The sequence below is a fragment of the Homo sapiens genome, chromosome 11 (assembly GCF_000001405.40).
Source record: "Homo sapiens chromosome 11, GRCh38.p14 Primary Assembly".
In the NCBI taxonomy this organism is placed as follows: Eukaryota; Metazoa; Chordata; class Mammalia; order Primates; family Hominidae; genus Homo; species Homo sapiens.
The window spans coordinates 91,863,330-91,879,121 of NC_000011.10; the positions used below are offsets into that span (position 1 = coordinate 91,863,330).

The window sequence follows — 15,792 nt, forward strand, 5'->3', positions numbered from 1 at the left end:
ATTTGACCTGTTTCTCTCTGCATCTTTGTCTGTAACCACACATTTATGTTCAAATCATACTGAACTATTTGCAATTTCTCAAACATGTTCTGATAGCCATGTATGTTCTGATAGCCATTCCTTAAGATCTTTGCACATTCCTAGTCCCTGAAATACTCTTCCTACAATTTCTTTGCCTCCTATTTTATTTTTCATGTCTTAATACAGAAGGAAGACTTTCCTGACATCTCATAAGACAAAGTTAGCTATAATTTTTGTGTTTCCTTGTTAAATTCTGTGGTGGTATTTATCAATTTCTATCCTGTCCTAGCTACGTATCTCCACTAGATGATAAGCAGTTTGAGAGCACCTATTCTTTCTGTTATATTCAGTATTGTATCTTAAGGCCTAGAACAGTGTCTAAGCTCAAAAAAGGTTTGTTGAATGAATAAATGAATCAGACAATTGAGACAGAACACAGACATGAATTTGAAAGTGGTTGGGGGAAATTGGGCAGATAGTATATGTATATTTCAGAGCTCATAGTCCAGAGTCACCTTAATAGTGCCCCTAAAGTCTTCACCATTTTACATGTGCATCTCCCAGGGAACTCTAGATCATTTCCATCTTTGTCCATAAGAATCAAAATCAACCAAGATAAACATGAAATTTATGATTAAACTAAGTTTGAATTAAACAAGCAGGAGAGAATATTTTCAAGTCAGTCTTCATATTCAACTGTGTAGCTAATTTTATATATAAGTAACAGACTACAGAGATTATCTAAGGAGACATTTATTCAACAAATATTACTGAGTGCCTACTCTGTTTCAACAGAGTGCTAGGCAATGAGGTTATGGAAGTGAATGATACTCACTGAAGGTCTCTGAGCCTCAGTTTCCTCACCTTAAAATGAAGACTTTTAAAGTAACTACCCCATAGATTTCATATAATTGCTTAGAATAATGGTTGGTTTATAGTAAGTACTCAATAAACTTTAGCTTTGGTAAAGTGATGATAAAGAGGAGATGATGATTGTGGTGATAAAACAATTCAGCTACCATGTGGAACCCACAGTCTCACAGGAATGACAAACACATGAAAGGTATGTGTTCTACCACATGATAGGCACCATGAAAGAGAAGTCAAAAAGGAACAGCAGCGTAATGAGGAGAATAATTAGCTCTGTTTGGGGACAGCAAAAGAAAGTGGAACCAATCATAACGGCTTCCCCACAGAAGAGACAAATCTGAAGCTTAAAGAATTAGTTGTTCTCTGCAAGCATTTTAACCCATGTCTTACTTAATGATCTCAATCCTATGTCTCATTCTTCCTGTAAGTAACTTTTCCATAAATGATGGTCTTAATACCTGGGCAATCTCATCAGGAGAAAGTCAGATATAGAGGTACACTCTAGAAGGTTACCTCCTGAACTAAAGTTTATTTATCTACTTCAATTTTTCGGAAAAGAATTTTAAAGCATTTTAATAAAGTATGTTAATGAGATTGAAGTCTGAATATATTTTAAAATTTAATTTTTTTAATAGCTCACCTATCAAAGGGGGATTATCTATCTAATTAATTTCATGTCAGCTATCACTGGTATCTTTCTGCTTTGACAAATGCATTCATTTTTAGGCAAAACATGTGTGCCAAGAAAATTACAGTGTCTGTCAAGCTTGGAGGAATCTGATGTACACACTTTGCTATGAAAATTATAGAATATGGAGTTTTAAGAATGTGGCCACAGTCCTAAGCTGGAATTGTAGATCTTCATGAAAAATTTTTTGAAAGTACCCTTTTAACCACTAGTACTGAAAATCAAATTGATATTGAGGGCACCTCACTCCATGTTGCTCTGTCTCTTACTCGTGGAGTAGGGATTGCTTTAGCAGGCTTCATACCCCAGGAATGAGCCTTTCTGTTACTACAGCAAAAAAAAAAAAAAAAAAAAACAAAAAACAAACTAAAAAAAAACTTATTTCATCTTCATTAGGCATGGAAATCATCATCCAGGTAGATCTCCCTTTTCCAGGAGTACAGATAGACTTATGAAGCTATGTAGGTTTTAATTAGCCCACAGTATCTTCACCCTTTCATTTGGACCTCCTCAGTAACTAAAGTTTGATCTCTCTCTTTTTTCATTTTTATGATGTAAAGCCATTATAAATCTACAGCAAATAAACTAGCAGGAGATTAATACCAATTGCAACAATATAACAACAGCAGACATAAAAAATACAGCTGGACTCTACCATAAACAGATGAAACTGAGCTACAAAGAGTGCTTCACTATTCAGTTCATAAAAGGCTGAATGCTGTCAGCCCAGCCACAGGAGGACAATCAAACTGGCTTTCCTGGACAGGCACAGCAACTCATTGATCAACTCCGCCACTTCAGACAGAGTTAGCAAAGGGAAATAGATCTCTCTCCTTCCACTCCGGCAGTAGGAAACAAGGGAAGACAGGGAAAGTGAAGGGAGGAGGGCAGGATGTGTAGATGTGAAGTCAAGCAACCAGGCTTGGGGAAAACAACGGGGAAACCTCAGATGATCCTGCCCTGGAGATCTCAGCATAATCCACCATTCATTGAACATTGAACGATGCAGCACCCCCAAAGCCGATGTCAGAAGTGATGCAGAGTAGAGATGATGAAAATGAGGACCATATTTTTAAGCTGATAATCAAATATAAAACATATGTTCATGGGAAAATTTGAAAACTTACTGAAATTAGGATTGTTCCACAAAGTCTAGACACTATGGTTAGCAGACCTTTGAGATACACACACACATACGTATGTATAGTCACACACACATATGTAATCATGTGTTGTATGACAATAGTCAATGACAGACTGCATGTACAATGGTGGTTCCATAAAAGTGCAACACTATATTTTTGCTGTACTTTTTCTATGTTTAGAAATGTTTAGAAATACAAATACCACTGTGTTACAGTTGCCTACAGTATTCAGTAAGGTAACATGCTATAAAGATTTGTAGTCTAGGAGCAATAGGCTATATCATATAGCCTAGGTGTATAGTAGGCAATGTTGTCTAGGTTTGTGTATGTATACTCTGTGATGTTTGGACAAGAATGAAATTGCCTAATGACACATTTCTCAGAATATATCCCCATCATTAAGTGAGATATGACTGTGTATGTGTGTGTACCCTATTATGATGTGTTAAGTCTTTTTCTAGGTATAAAAGACAGGCTTCACACAAAGTAGAATGAAAATGTTGCAAAATAGAGATGACCAATGTGTTTTGGTATTCGCTCAGGCAGGAAGCTTGAAGGAAGACAAGGCATTTAGGCTTGATCTTAAAAGCTAAGTAAGATTTGCATAGGCAAAGTAAGAGGCAATAGAATGCTACAAAAGAAGAGCATGAAAGATGACATGATGGTGGTAAAGGTGTAACGGTGTAAATGTGTATTAAGAGTAAAGGAGTAAAGCTAGAGTGTGAGTATGTAGAAGGGGAAAACAGAAAGGTAGGGTATGAACTTCATGGCGGGACTTGGACTTTATCCTTTAGCCTTTGGAAGCAATTCAAAGTTTATGCAAGAGGACGTGATGTGTTTTAGAATGATAGGTATACATAGGTCTGAAGGATCAACTATAAGAGAAAGACTGCAGTCAGTAAGATTTCTTAGGAAGTTATTTTAATATTCCTGAGAGAGGGACTAAAAGACAAAGCAGAATTACCTACCTATTGGGTATGGAGTTTGGAGGAGAAGAAAGTTTTAGGTCTGTGCTTCTCCTATGTTGATATGCATATAAATCATTGTTCTGGTTAAAATGGATATTCCAATTCAGTAGGTCTGGTGAGGCATAAGATTCTGTATTTCTAAGAAGCTCCCAGATGATGTCAATGCTGATGAATTGTATGTTCAACAACAAGATTTGAGACCACTCCAGGTATTTCCTTCTTGTGAAACTGGCTATGTGATGTTTCATTAAATGAGATAGGCTTGGATCAGGGGAAGATACTGACTGCCTCCACTACTGGACACATTCAATGGGAGGCACACAAGTCAAGAGTTAGAAATTGGATTGCTCTTTTAGAAATGAGGCTAAAGCTGTACTTAAAGAATTGGAAATTACTAAAGGAGAGAATCAAGGCAAAATTTAAGTGGATAAGACTTCACAGAAAAAAAGGAATTAAAAAGAGTCAAAAATAGTATATTACCGAAGACCTGGAACAAAATGGGCACTTAATAATTACTTGTTGAAGGAACAAATGAATGTGCCCCTATTTAAAAGGCAAATAAAAAAAAAAAAAGGAGAACAATGGGTGACTGAGAAGGAGCAGTCAAGAAGGCCAAATGACAGCTGAGTCACAGAAGACATAAGAGAGAAGCCTTTTGCTGAATGCTGAATAGGGAATGCATACTGTGAGATGTCGCTGTGAGTTTGCATGGTCTTTCTAAGATGTTGTAGTGGGTGATGTGGCATGCCACCCAGATGCCCTCCAGGATTGAGAAAATCATTCTCCCAACTGCTGAGAGAGTTGGCTGCAATGAATCTCAGCCAAGTTCTTTTCCAGAAATGTGCCTTCCTCAAGAGCAGCCTCATTCAAATTCATGCTCCCTTTCCACAGGCAGCTCAAGTCCAATGACTGGCCCATGTGGGGATATAAAGGCTTAGTCCCTTGCCTCAAAGTATGATCCTGCTGAAGAGGCATCTCAGCTTAAGACAGTCCGTGAGATCAGCTGAGGTCCTGTTTATACTATTTAACAGTCCAATTCCTCCTTCTGCCCAGCCCTGCTGCCTTCATTCCTTCACAGGTGTTGTTTCTGGGAGAACTCCCCAGTAAAATTCCATCTGAGTCTGTTTCCCGGAAATCTGACCTAAGACAGATGTTGACTTTATTCCTAGAGATTAAATTGCAAAAGCCATTCATATTTGAGGCTGTGTCTCCCTAGGCCCTTTTCTAAACTGAGATCGCACTTCTCTGCCTCAATCTTCTTTTGCTTTTTTGCTTCTGAAACTGTACTGGCAGGTACTGCCACACCATCTGTGCATAACAGCCCAGCAAATTTTGGGGGCATCTGCTACAGTAAGGTCACATTCCCAGCTGTTGTGTCATGTCTTCAACATCTTCTTTGATTTCTCTCACTCCTTACTTTGCAGAGAGCAGTTCAAGGTAAAATCTCCCTGCTTGTTTGTTTCTATTATCCACCTGCTGTTGTAGAGAACTGACATTATCTTATGTACTCTTTAAAATGGAAAGACATGGAACTCACTAATTAAATTTGCAGATCAAGCTGAAATAAAAGTCATAGCAAAATCACTAAGGACAGGCACGTTATGTAAAGTGGCTTCAGTGCTTAGAAATATAGTCAGGAAATGACCAAATGAGCTTTAGCAAGGAGACCTGAAAATTAATACATCTGGAGGAAAGGAACCTGAAACACAGCTATTTAAATTTCCAGGGAGAAAACTGGAAAGCAACAAGACCAGCAAGAAAAAAAAAGAATAAAAAGAACAGGAAGGTGATATTAGACACTTCAACATAAGCTTATGGTGCAGTGAAACTGAATAAAAAACAGGGTGCATTTCTTGGCTGTATTTTAAGATGCGTTACTGCACATGGTTGCAAGGTGATCCCTATATGGAGCTGCCATGTGGTAGACCATGTTGGTTTTCAGGTGCTTGGGTAATAGCATGAAATAGACAAATTGGGAGCAATTGGAAGACAGCTATAGAAATAATGAATAGGAGTGATTGAATTACAAGAAAAGGAGATAAATGGGTGTAGGTAATTTCCTCCAGTGCCAAGGGAGAGTGAAGATGAAGGTCAGCATGGGAGCAACATTGCTCTAATGCAGAAAAGCCTGTGCTGGAGTGTTACCTGTCAAAATGGGATTAAGGCTGAGACAGGAAAGGGTAGTTTCAAAAAGTCGGCAAGTACTTCCAAATGCGCAGCCACTATGGCACAGTCATCAAAAAGGAGCTGTAAAAGAAACAGCACCACACTTGTAGACGAGTCTGTGAACACTGGGCTTCTTGGCATGAGTCTGAACCTGAGGCCAGCTTCAGCAGTGGACAAAGTTGCAGCTCCATTCCAGGCACAGAGTTGGTCAGTTCAGAAAACTGTTCTAATTTCTCATCTTTAATTGATTCAAAATAAAAATAGATGAACAAGTAGAATGTGTGTCCAAAAATAGAGTTGATGTTCCACCAGCCTGTAAACTCATTAAGAGCTGAGCACTTGTCTTATTCATCTCTGTGTCTCAGGTGTCTGGTGCAACAAAACTGCTTATTAAATGTTTTCTGAATTAGTTAATGAGGGAAAACTGAGAAAAAAATATTCCTGCCGTGAAGTTCCGGGCCACATTTCTGGCAGACCACAGGCTCAGCACTTCTGGGGATCTTTGGAAACTTTCCCCAAAGGGCTTGCATTCAAGAAAGAGATTTGTGCCTCACTGGCTGTCCTGGCTTCATAGTATCCTTTTTCAAGGGGAGAAAATCCCTCAGCATGGGGTCAGGCAGGCTCCCACATTTAAAAATTGGATAGCTTCGTTTTTTCTAAAGTCCAAGTGTGAAACGGAAGAAGCTGACAGGAAGTGTTCATTAATATATTGAACAAATGTTAGGACTCTGTATAGTTTAGCAGTTAAGAGCAGCTAAGAGCCAGATGGCCAGATTTCAAATTTTGGCTCTGCTACTTCCTAATTGGGTATATCCTTTGGCAAGTTATTTAACTTCCCTGTGCTTAGTTTCTTCATTTGTAAAACAAGGATAATAATAGTTCTTGATGAATGGAGTTGTACTGGGGATTAAAATAAATAATCTATGTAAAGCATTGAGAAGAATGCTGATCAGTAAATCTTTCATCTCTCTCTCTCTCCCCACTCTCTTTCTCTCTCTTGCTCTGTGTGTGTCTGTGTGTGTGTGTCTGTGTGTGTCTATGTGTATGCATGTGTGTGTGTATGTGTGTGTGTGTAGCACTTATGGGCTAGGCATTCCTATACATTGCAGAGACAATGGTAGGAAATAAGACTGGCAAGATATTTTCCTATATATGTCCTGCTCTCATAGATCTTCCCTTCTCATTAGAGAGTCAGACTCTAAGCAAAAAAGTAAGTAAATAAGGGCCATAATTTCAGATGGAGATGAGTTCCATGAGAAAATAAAATGAAATGATGTACTAAAGAATGACTTGGGGAAGAACAAAGTGCTGCATTAGAGCGTCCAGAAAGAGATGCTTTCAGAAAGTCAGAGCTGAGAACTGAATGACCAGAAGGAACCAGCCATGTGAGAGCACAGAGAAGAAATAATACAATGCATAGATGTCACTTTAAGATGGAATAAGTTTGTCATTTTCAAGAAGGCAGAGTAATAAGTGCTTTGCGGACAAGACAGGGCAGAGGTAGATGAGCTCTAGGAGGTAGACAGGGACAGATTATGTTGAGCTTTGTTGCCCAGGGCAATAGCTTTTAATCTAATTTTAATGCAGTGGGAAGCCATTGGAAACATTTGGGCGGAGAATGACATGATCTGACTTCAAATTTATAAAAGATCGTTTTGACTGGCTTCTGTGTAGAGACTCAACTACATGGTATTGGAGGAGAAACAAAGGGACCCATTGGAGGCAATTGGCTATTGCAGAATCCCGATGACAATTAATGCCACTTGGACTAGGGTTATAGCACTGAAGATGGAAAGAATGTGACGAGTTTAAGTTATGCATTAGAGTAAAACCAGTCAGATTTCCTCATGGATTAGATGTGGAGGAAGTTGAATCTGTTAGTTTTTTCAGTGTCTGGCACTTGACTAAGCCTAGAAACAAAAAGTTTAAAAACAATAATTATATACAGAGCCTGCCTTTAAGTAGCTCTTTTGAGCTGTATTTTGTAGGGAACAGAATCCTACTCAGACTTCAAGGAATGGATTATCTACAGAGGCATGAGCAACATTAGACAAGTCAGCAAAAATGGTGGAGAACATAGAAACTATCAAGAATCAAAAGCCACCACTACCTTAGGCTTAGAAAGGCAAGGCAAGGCAAGGAAATAGTACTAACAAAGCCCAGTGAACATGGGAATCTTGGAGAAGGGCTGCCCGGCAGGAGACGTATTCCCAGAGGGACATGCTCTGCCACAGAATGTGTCCAGCATAGAAAAGAAGTGGGGAGTGAATACTTCTTCCTTGTCCCACCCTCCAATTTTTTACGACTGCCTTCCATAAGCTAAGCCTCACTGGAATCCAGGCAGCAAAGGAGGTATGATCGTCTGAGGTGTCAGCCCACTCAGCGTATAGGACAGGACAGAGAAAAGCAGAGGAGGAAGCTGGGTGAGTTGGGAGGGACAGGCAAATGGAAAATGAAAAGTATACAAGCATGCAAAAGTATTACAGAAAAAAGAAAATGTCATTTGGAATCAAGTGCAAGACTAGCTTCAGGGTTTTCACACAGGCTTAGCTCAGAGACAGTGCCCAGTTCAAATTCTTCTATGCAAAAAACCTGAGAATACAACCCAATTTCCCATCTTCTCAAAGTAGTCACTACTCTCTCATTTCTTTCTCCCCCCACAACAGGGAGGAGGAAAAAACCATGGCTGCGGAGGTGATTTAATATCCTGTTGACTCTGAAGAAAAATACACTTCTTCATTATAAGAGTTTTATTGCCAATGACTAGAAGGAAATGTAAAGGGGACAACACAAGATGACTAACACAGGAAGTTATAAAACTCACAGCTCTAACTGTCATGGCCCTGGGCCCATGGTGCCTGAATCCCTCTGGGAGTATTAAATGGAAGGCCCCCTGGTACCTGAATTTTGTTTTAGTTTTCTCTCTCCATCTCTGTGATTACACATAAAATCAGCCAAGCACCTGCTCCCCTCCAGCCTAGATAACACATACCTCCATGCTATAAAGGGACAATTTGACCAAGAGACACCCACCTCACCTGACCACAGAGCTGGAAAATCTACTATGTCAGACTTCCATGCAACCGCTGGTGGGAGAAAGTTTTCACGAGTCTCTCTGGGCCCTTATCCCTCTCCCCTGTATTCCCATCCTTATCCAAATCCACATTTCACCAAACTCCCTAACGCTAAGCAGCTGTTGAAGTTCAGATCACAGTCTCTGAGGAGCTCCTGGTTTCCCATGGAATGTGATTTGCCTCATCATCTTACAGCCTGCCTCCACTTTGCTTTCTTATCATTTCAGAGGCTTGGGATGCCTGTGTGCACAATAAATCAATGGCATTTTAAGCTTTCCCTGTGGCCTCAATCACTATGCGCCTTGGTGCAGCTTGCTGTGCTGATCACGTTTATGACTTCACCTAAATTCTTAATGCTCTATCTCATTGCAAAGAAAGGGGATTATTTTTTATGAAAATGTAATTTTAGCTTAGCCACCAGACAATTTCCAATATGCTATGAAAAGAATAAAATAGCCCCCAAAAAGCCATATCTCCTAGAATTTACCCCTCCTATAATCTAGATTATAAACTCAATGGAGATACAGATCATATCTGAATTGAACATTACTGTACCCTAGACCCTATTGCTACATCTAGTGCACAATTTATGCTTGGTATTTGTTGATACTGAATAGCACATTGTTTTGCAAATGGAATTTTTTAATAACCACCTCTTCCTGTGCCACCCTAAGCATGCACATGTATATGCACGCACACACACATGCACTTTACCTTCATACACGCATGATGCTCTCAGTGATAAAGTCATGTGTAGCTCAAGGTGATCAAAAGAGGTATTTGTATAAGAAAGCAGAAACAGTTCTTTATAAAAACAAGACAACAAAGCTTACTGTTAGCAGTGGTCCCAGGAATGAGACCGCCCCGCATCCCTCACTGTCTCTATCTGTGCCCGTCCAGGGAGTCTGTTTTTAGAAAGCCCTTGTCTGTTTGCTTCCTCTCCACAATTCAAGAGAGAAACTCAGGTCTCTCTCTCTTCTTTTTTTTTTTTTTTTTTTAACCATTGCCTTTACTTCACCAAGTTTTCTATAGAGTAGAAATTTCCCCCTAGAGGAATAGAGGAATTCTGGACTTTTGCATTTATATTAGACATTCTGGAATAATCTTCAGTATTCCTTTGTTCAGTCTTCTTTGTCCATAAGCCTTTCCAGTGTCTCTCCCCCAGCACCATACAACAGCCTGCTTTGTGTTTCTTCTGCCTACCTCTTCCCCTAACTTCACCTCTTGTTTAGGTGCACATTTCTTTCAAAACTAGACCATTAACTTCTTGAGGAAAGTCCTAAGTCTTTTCCTTTTTGTATTACCTCATACATATACTTTACCTCCAATCAGAAAAAAATTGTCTTCTCTTTGGTCTCATAGCTGTTATTTCTTTCCAGCTTTGGTCTGTCAAAATTAATGTTATTTGGAAGAAGAATATAAAAATAGAAAAACACAATAGTTGAGTCAAGCCCATGAAAGCAAAATGCTCTCTAAGAGGAACCACTTTCAGGGCTCTAGGCTAAATGCTATTTGAATCCTGTGAACTGGAATTCCTCTGAGAGATCTTCTCTGCCTTCCTCAGGCAGGCCAGTCTTGGCTGGACACCTCTGGTTTTGCCAAGAAAGCACAGTTCCTGTCTGCAAACAGCACAAGCATAGTAGGTCAGCAGACGGGCAGAGCTGGCTCAAATTTATTAAAAGCATCTTCATATTGTAGCTCAAGAATACACTGCTGTTTTTACCGGGTGATGAAGATATTTGGTGAGGTTTTTAAAAGAATAAAAGAATAGAAAAGATAAACCTTATGTTTCTATGTAGCTTAGGGTCAGAGCATTTCATATTCATGCATCTAGCTGATTTTCACAATATCTCTGTGAAGCAGGCAGGGCAGTTATTATCCCCCTTTTATTGATGAGGACACTGAGGTTCAATATTTTAATTACTTGCCTAAGGCCACATCCAGCTCGTGATGTACCATCTACCATCTGGATGGCAGCACTCAGTCTCCAAAATAGACCTCTTGACTCCTGGAGCCAAAACTACCACACAGGTTTCAAACTTTTAGGCAAGTGTTGAGGAAAGAAATGGGATTTTTGTAAAGAAAAAAAAAAGAAAAACTCTTCTTTCCAGGTAATGTAAGTTAGCAAGGAGAGTTGATATCATAGAAATAGCACTCCATGGGAGAGAATATTAAGAAACTTCTTATTCTAAATTCCAAGGTTAGGCCTCTGAGATTTACATTGCCCTTTTTTTTTTTTTGAGATGGAGTCTTGCTCTGTCACCCAGGCTGGAGTGCAGTGGCACGATCTCGGCTCACTGCAAGCTCTGCCTCCCAGGTTCACACCATTCTGCCTCAGCCTCCCAAGTAGCTGGGACCACAGGCGCCCTCCATGCCTGGCTAGTTTTTTTGTATTTTTTGTAGTAGAGATGGGGTTTTACCGTGTTAGCCAGGATGGTCTCGATCTCCTGACCTCGTGATCTGGCCGCTTCAGCCTCCCAAAGTGCTGGGATTACAGGCGTGAGCCACTGCGCCCGGCCTGCATTGTCATTTATAACCAGAAGCATTTTCACCTGATGGCTTCCAGTTTTCACCTGATCCCTGATTACTCTGTATAGACAAAAGCTGGCCTACAACAATGGAAAGCTGCTTGCAACATTAACTAAAGTGCAGGTGCCCACAGGAGAATACTCCTGTTCTACCCAGACCTCAGCAGTAGAGGCCAACTTACTCCTCTTTTGTCTTTAATGCTGTCATGGCATCATGCATCCGCTTCTACAAAGCCACTGGTAATTTATGCAGTTTCCGTATGTGAGATCTTGAAGGATTTCTAATGTAAACCTGAATATTTCCAGGCTCTGCTACTTAGAAATGTAAATTATTTACTCGTTCGCATTTGATCTGTTGTTATTATATCTTGTTTGTAACAATTGGGATTTCCTGTAAGAGAAGATTATACATCTTTCCTATGAAAATACATTTTAATAAAGCATAAACATTTTCAGTCTCCATTATTCATAGTTGTATAGGGAATACTTAAGATTCTCTTCACCAGAAAGTATCTATACAGAGATGTATGCGTGTATTTTGTTGCCCAGAGGAATAACAAATGCAGGCCTCAGATTTGTATAGACATACAGGTTGCTAGGTCTGAGACTTTAGCCCTCTTCTTCAAATTGTCTCAACCTTCTAGCATTTAGAAACAGTTGTTATGTGTGTGGATCTGAAATAAGGATGAAAAACTTCCTCATGGGGTCAGAAGTATGCTGTTTGCCAATCTGAAAGGCAAAACAACTGGAAGTTACAAACAACTGATTCAGGTGATAAATTGTACAAAAATAAAATCAGGAAAATATTTTAGATTCAAAGAGTTGTAGAGAAGTTGCTGGAGGTTTGGGAGCATGGCCAGGACACCTTATATTAATATTTAAACTGATCTCTGAACATTAAGTCCATAAGAGAGTATATCTTAATAATAATTCAGGCCAGGCACAGTGGCTCACACCTACATTCCCAACATTTTGGGAGGCCGAAGCAGGAGGATTGCTTGAGACCAGGAGTTTGAGAGCAACCTGGGGAACGTAGCGAGATTCCCATCTCTACAAAAATATTACAAATAATATTTCAAAAGTCGAAGTATGTAGAGCAGCTGAGGATTTGAAATAAGCCATTTTGTGATTCTTTTGCCTTCATTCATTCAACTGTTTCTTTCTATGGAGAAAAGACAGGATAAACAAATACTTGGGCATAGGAAAGCCCAGAACAAGCATGCCTAAAAGGAAACCATTATATATGAATGAAAAGTTTGGTATATTGAGCAAGATGTGAAAGTCATGCCATACCCAATCACCCTCAGGTTTTCTTGTTTTCAAAAAGGACTCACGTAACTCAGAAATTTGCTAAGCTCTGACTTTTTTATGTTGCCCAAATTCCTATCTCAGGGGTCTGGGGAGTCACGCCCTACAAACCATAAATTCTCATCAGATGGGTTTTATTGAAATCTTTATATTATGACTTATTTTCCAATCTGACTCTGGCATAACATAACATGACAAAGAAGAAAATCAAAATATTTTACCCCAAAACATGTTTCTTTGTCATAGTTTGAAATGGTCCTGCAAAGCCATCCTTTGTGGGAGCAAATGTGCATCTGTAAAGAATCTCTATTTAAATAGCTAGATCTTTTTCTTTCAGGCCTTCCCAATCCTGAAGAGATTAACTAAAAGTCTAGTACCTTTTAAAGTCTGAATAGGAAACATCTGTCATCTAATGTCTCTAAGGGCAGCCATTATGAGACTTCAAAAGAACCTTGGTTTCCACAATCTTTTATCTTAACTTGAACATTTCCCTTCTCTTAATTCCAGGCCTTTAGACAAACTCAATAAATTGTAAACCAGAAAACGTTTAAATTTACCTACAGCCTGGAAGCTCCTCTGCTTAGAATTGTCTCACCTTTCTGGTCCAAAACAATATATTTCTCAATATATTGATGTCTCATGCTTCCCTAAAACCAAGCTGCATCCCAACCACCTTGGGCACATGTTCTCAGGACCTCCTGAGGGCTGTGTCATCGGCCATGGTTGCTCATATTTGGCTCAGAATAAATCTCTTCAAATATTTTACAGAGTTTGACTCTTTTCGTTGACATACTCATGATTTCAGTTTATTACAAAGTGTTACCTAATAAAATCAACAAAGGTAAAAAGTGCATGGGGCACAGTCCAGTAGAGACTACATTCAAGCTTCCAGTTGTATACTCCCAATGGACTCCTACCAACAGCACTTAATTTTCTCAGCAATAATGAGGGACAACAGGTATAGAGTATGGCCAGCCAGAGAAGCCCACCCAAGCCTACATGTCCATGGTTTTTATTGGGAGTCAGTCTGGTAGGCATGGAGCATCTGCATGGCTGACTACTTAGTTACTTAGTCTCCAGCCCCTCCAGGTGTGCAACTGATACAGCATGGTCCACGGCAGCCACCACAAATCACATTGTTAGCATAGACTATCTGGCATATCTCAAGGCTTTAGGTATATAAAGACACTCTCATCAGGCAAAATATTCCAAAGTCTTACTGGTTATCTCCAAGGAGGTATCAAGAGTCAGTTCTCTCTTTAGAATGAATGGGGTTTCAACACCCCAGATCACTTAGTTCATCCTTCACAGCACAGGGACTAAACCATGGTGGGCTCCATGGGAAGCCTTGAATGCCAGGACAAAAGTAGACAGCTTAATCTAGTAGCAGAGTTTACAATGGGCTAGACAAGAAAAGAGTAGAAACCAGAGAATCAATTCCAAACTTTTTGTACTCATCCAAGTAAGATACTGAGGTCCTGAGAAGGCATAATAAATGAGGACAAAGGAACATTTTTGAGCAGAGGAATTATATGAAGAGATTTATTTAAAGTTCAATCAGGCAGCAATGTGCAGTATTGCACTAAACCTTCAAGAACAGGAAAGCCTGAATCCCAACATTAAAACTTACCAGCCAAGAAAACACCTTGAACTCCCTAGATAGCTCTTTGTCCATGTGGATAGATGATCCCTACATGTGGTGGGAGGCTTTCACAGTTAATCTCTTGAAATGATTTCCAACTTGGTGTGTCTAAAACTATACTCTACTCAAAACAAATGTTGAGGTAAGATACTAACATAAAGCAATAATTAAATATTTTTCCAGATTTTCTTTTTTTTTTTCTTTCCATTTGGCGTTTCTCCCCATTCCAGCAGTCAGGCTTTCTGTGTTCAAGGATTTAGAAAATGAATGTGACGTCTCACACGGAGAGAGAGTCTCTCCCTTGATTTTTGTGCATTAGAGGTTCAGGCACTTGGGAAAATACAAAGGGTATACAGCTTAGACAACAAACTGACAAAAATATCATAAAAACAACTTGGTCTGCCCTAGCTTTCACCCTCAAGGGTATGCCATTGAAAGGGAAGGCAGAGACTAAAGGACAGCCACAGAGGTGTTTTTATGTGTGTCACAGGGACAAGCCCAGAATGAACTCTGGGAGGCAGCATGTGCTATGGAGGGGCATTGGGCCCTCCTCCTGGGTGCATCCTCAGGAATGAGGCAGAACTCCAGAGGAGAAATCACTCCATCATACATAGATGCGTACAGATAGAAAGGGCCTTAGAGAACCTCACAGGCCCTTAAGGTATAGGAGAATGACATGCATGCCCCCAAGAATGACTGGAATACGGCAAAGCTAATATGGAAACAAGTGATGCCTCCAGGGACTCCTGTGTACACTGACAAAGCAACGGATGGGACAATAGGGGTCTCAGAGGATGCTAGCATGATTACTGACAAAGAGGACCCAATGGGTTCCATCCTAATATGTTGTTAAAAAATAAACTTCCTGGCCAGGCGCGGTGGCTCATGCCTGTAATCCCAGCACTTTGGGAGGCTGAGGTGGGCGGATCACGAGGTCAGGAGATAGAGACCATCCTGGCTAACACGGTGAAACCCCGTCTCTACTAAAAAATACACAAAATTAGCCGGGCGTGGTGGTGGGCGCCTGTGGTCCCAGCTACTCGGGAGGCTGCGGCAGGAAAACGGTGTGAACCTGGGAGGCGGAGCTTGCAGTGAGCTGAGATCGCGCCACTGCACTCTGGCTTGGGCAGCAGAGCGAGACTCCGTCTCAAAAATAAATAAATAAATAAATAAATAAATAAATAAATAAATAAATAATAAATAAACTTCCTGAAATGTAATGAGATTCGGGGAAAATGTTAGAGTGTGATCCACAGATTGACTGCAATTAGTTTTTCATCAGCCCCTAACGGAAATAAGAAATTTTCAAGTTATAGAAAAAAATTAAGTTGTATTTTTCACACTTTCTGGATCCAGAGATATATCCACGATGTGATTTCCTT

General features: G+C 39.9%; 1 long non-coding RNA gene across 5 annotated transcripts in view; it reads left to right on the plus strand.

Annotated features, from left to right (window-relative positions):
* The window catches only part of LINC02756 (long intergenic non-protein coding RNA 2756), a 78,165-nt gene extending 69,008 nt beyond the window's left edge, over positions 1 to 9,157 (plus strand). For all 5 annotated transcript variants that reach the window (NR_187311.1, NR_187309.1, NR_187308.1 and 2 more), the window contains one exon: positions 8,525 to 9,157. This is a non-coding gene — a long non-coding RNA (long intergenic non-protein coding RNA 2756). The remainder of the gene's footprint in view (positions 1 to 8,524) is intronic.
* The last annotated feature ends 6,635 nt before the right edge of the window (positions 9,158 to 15,792 follow it).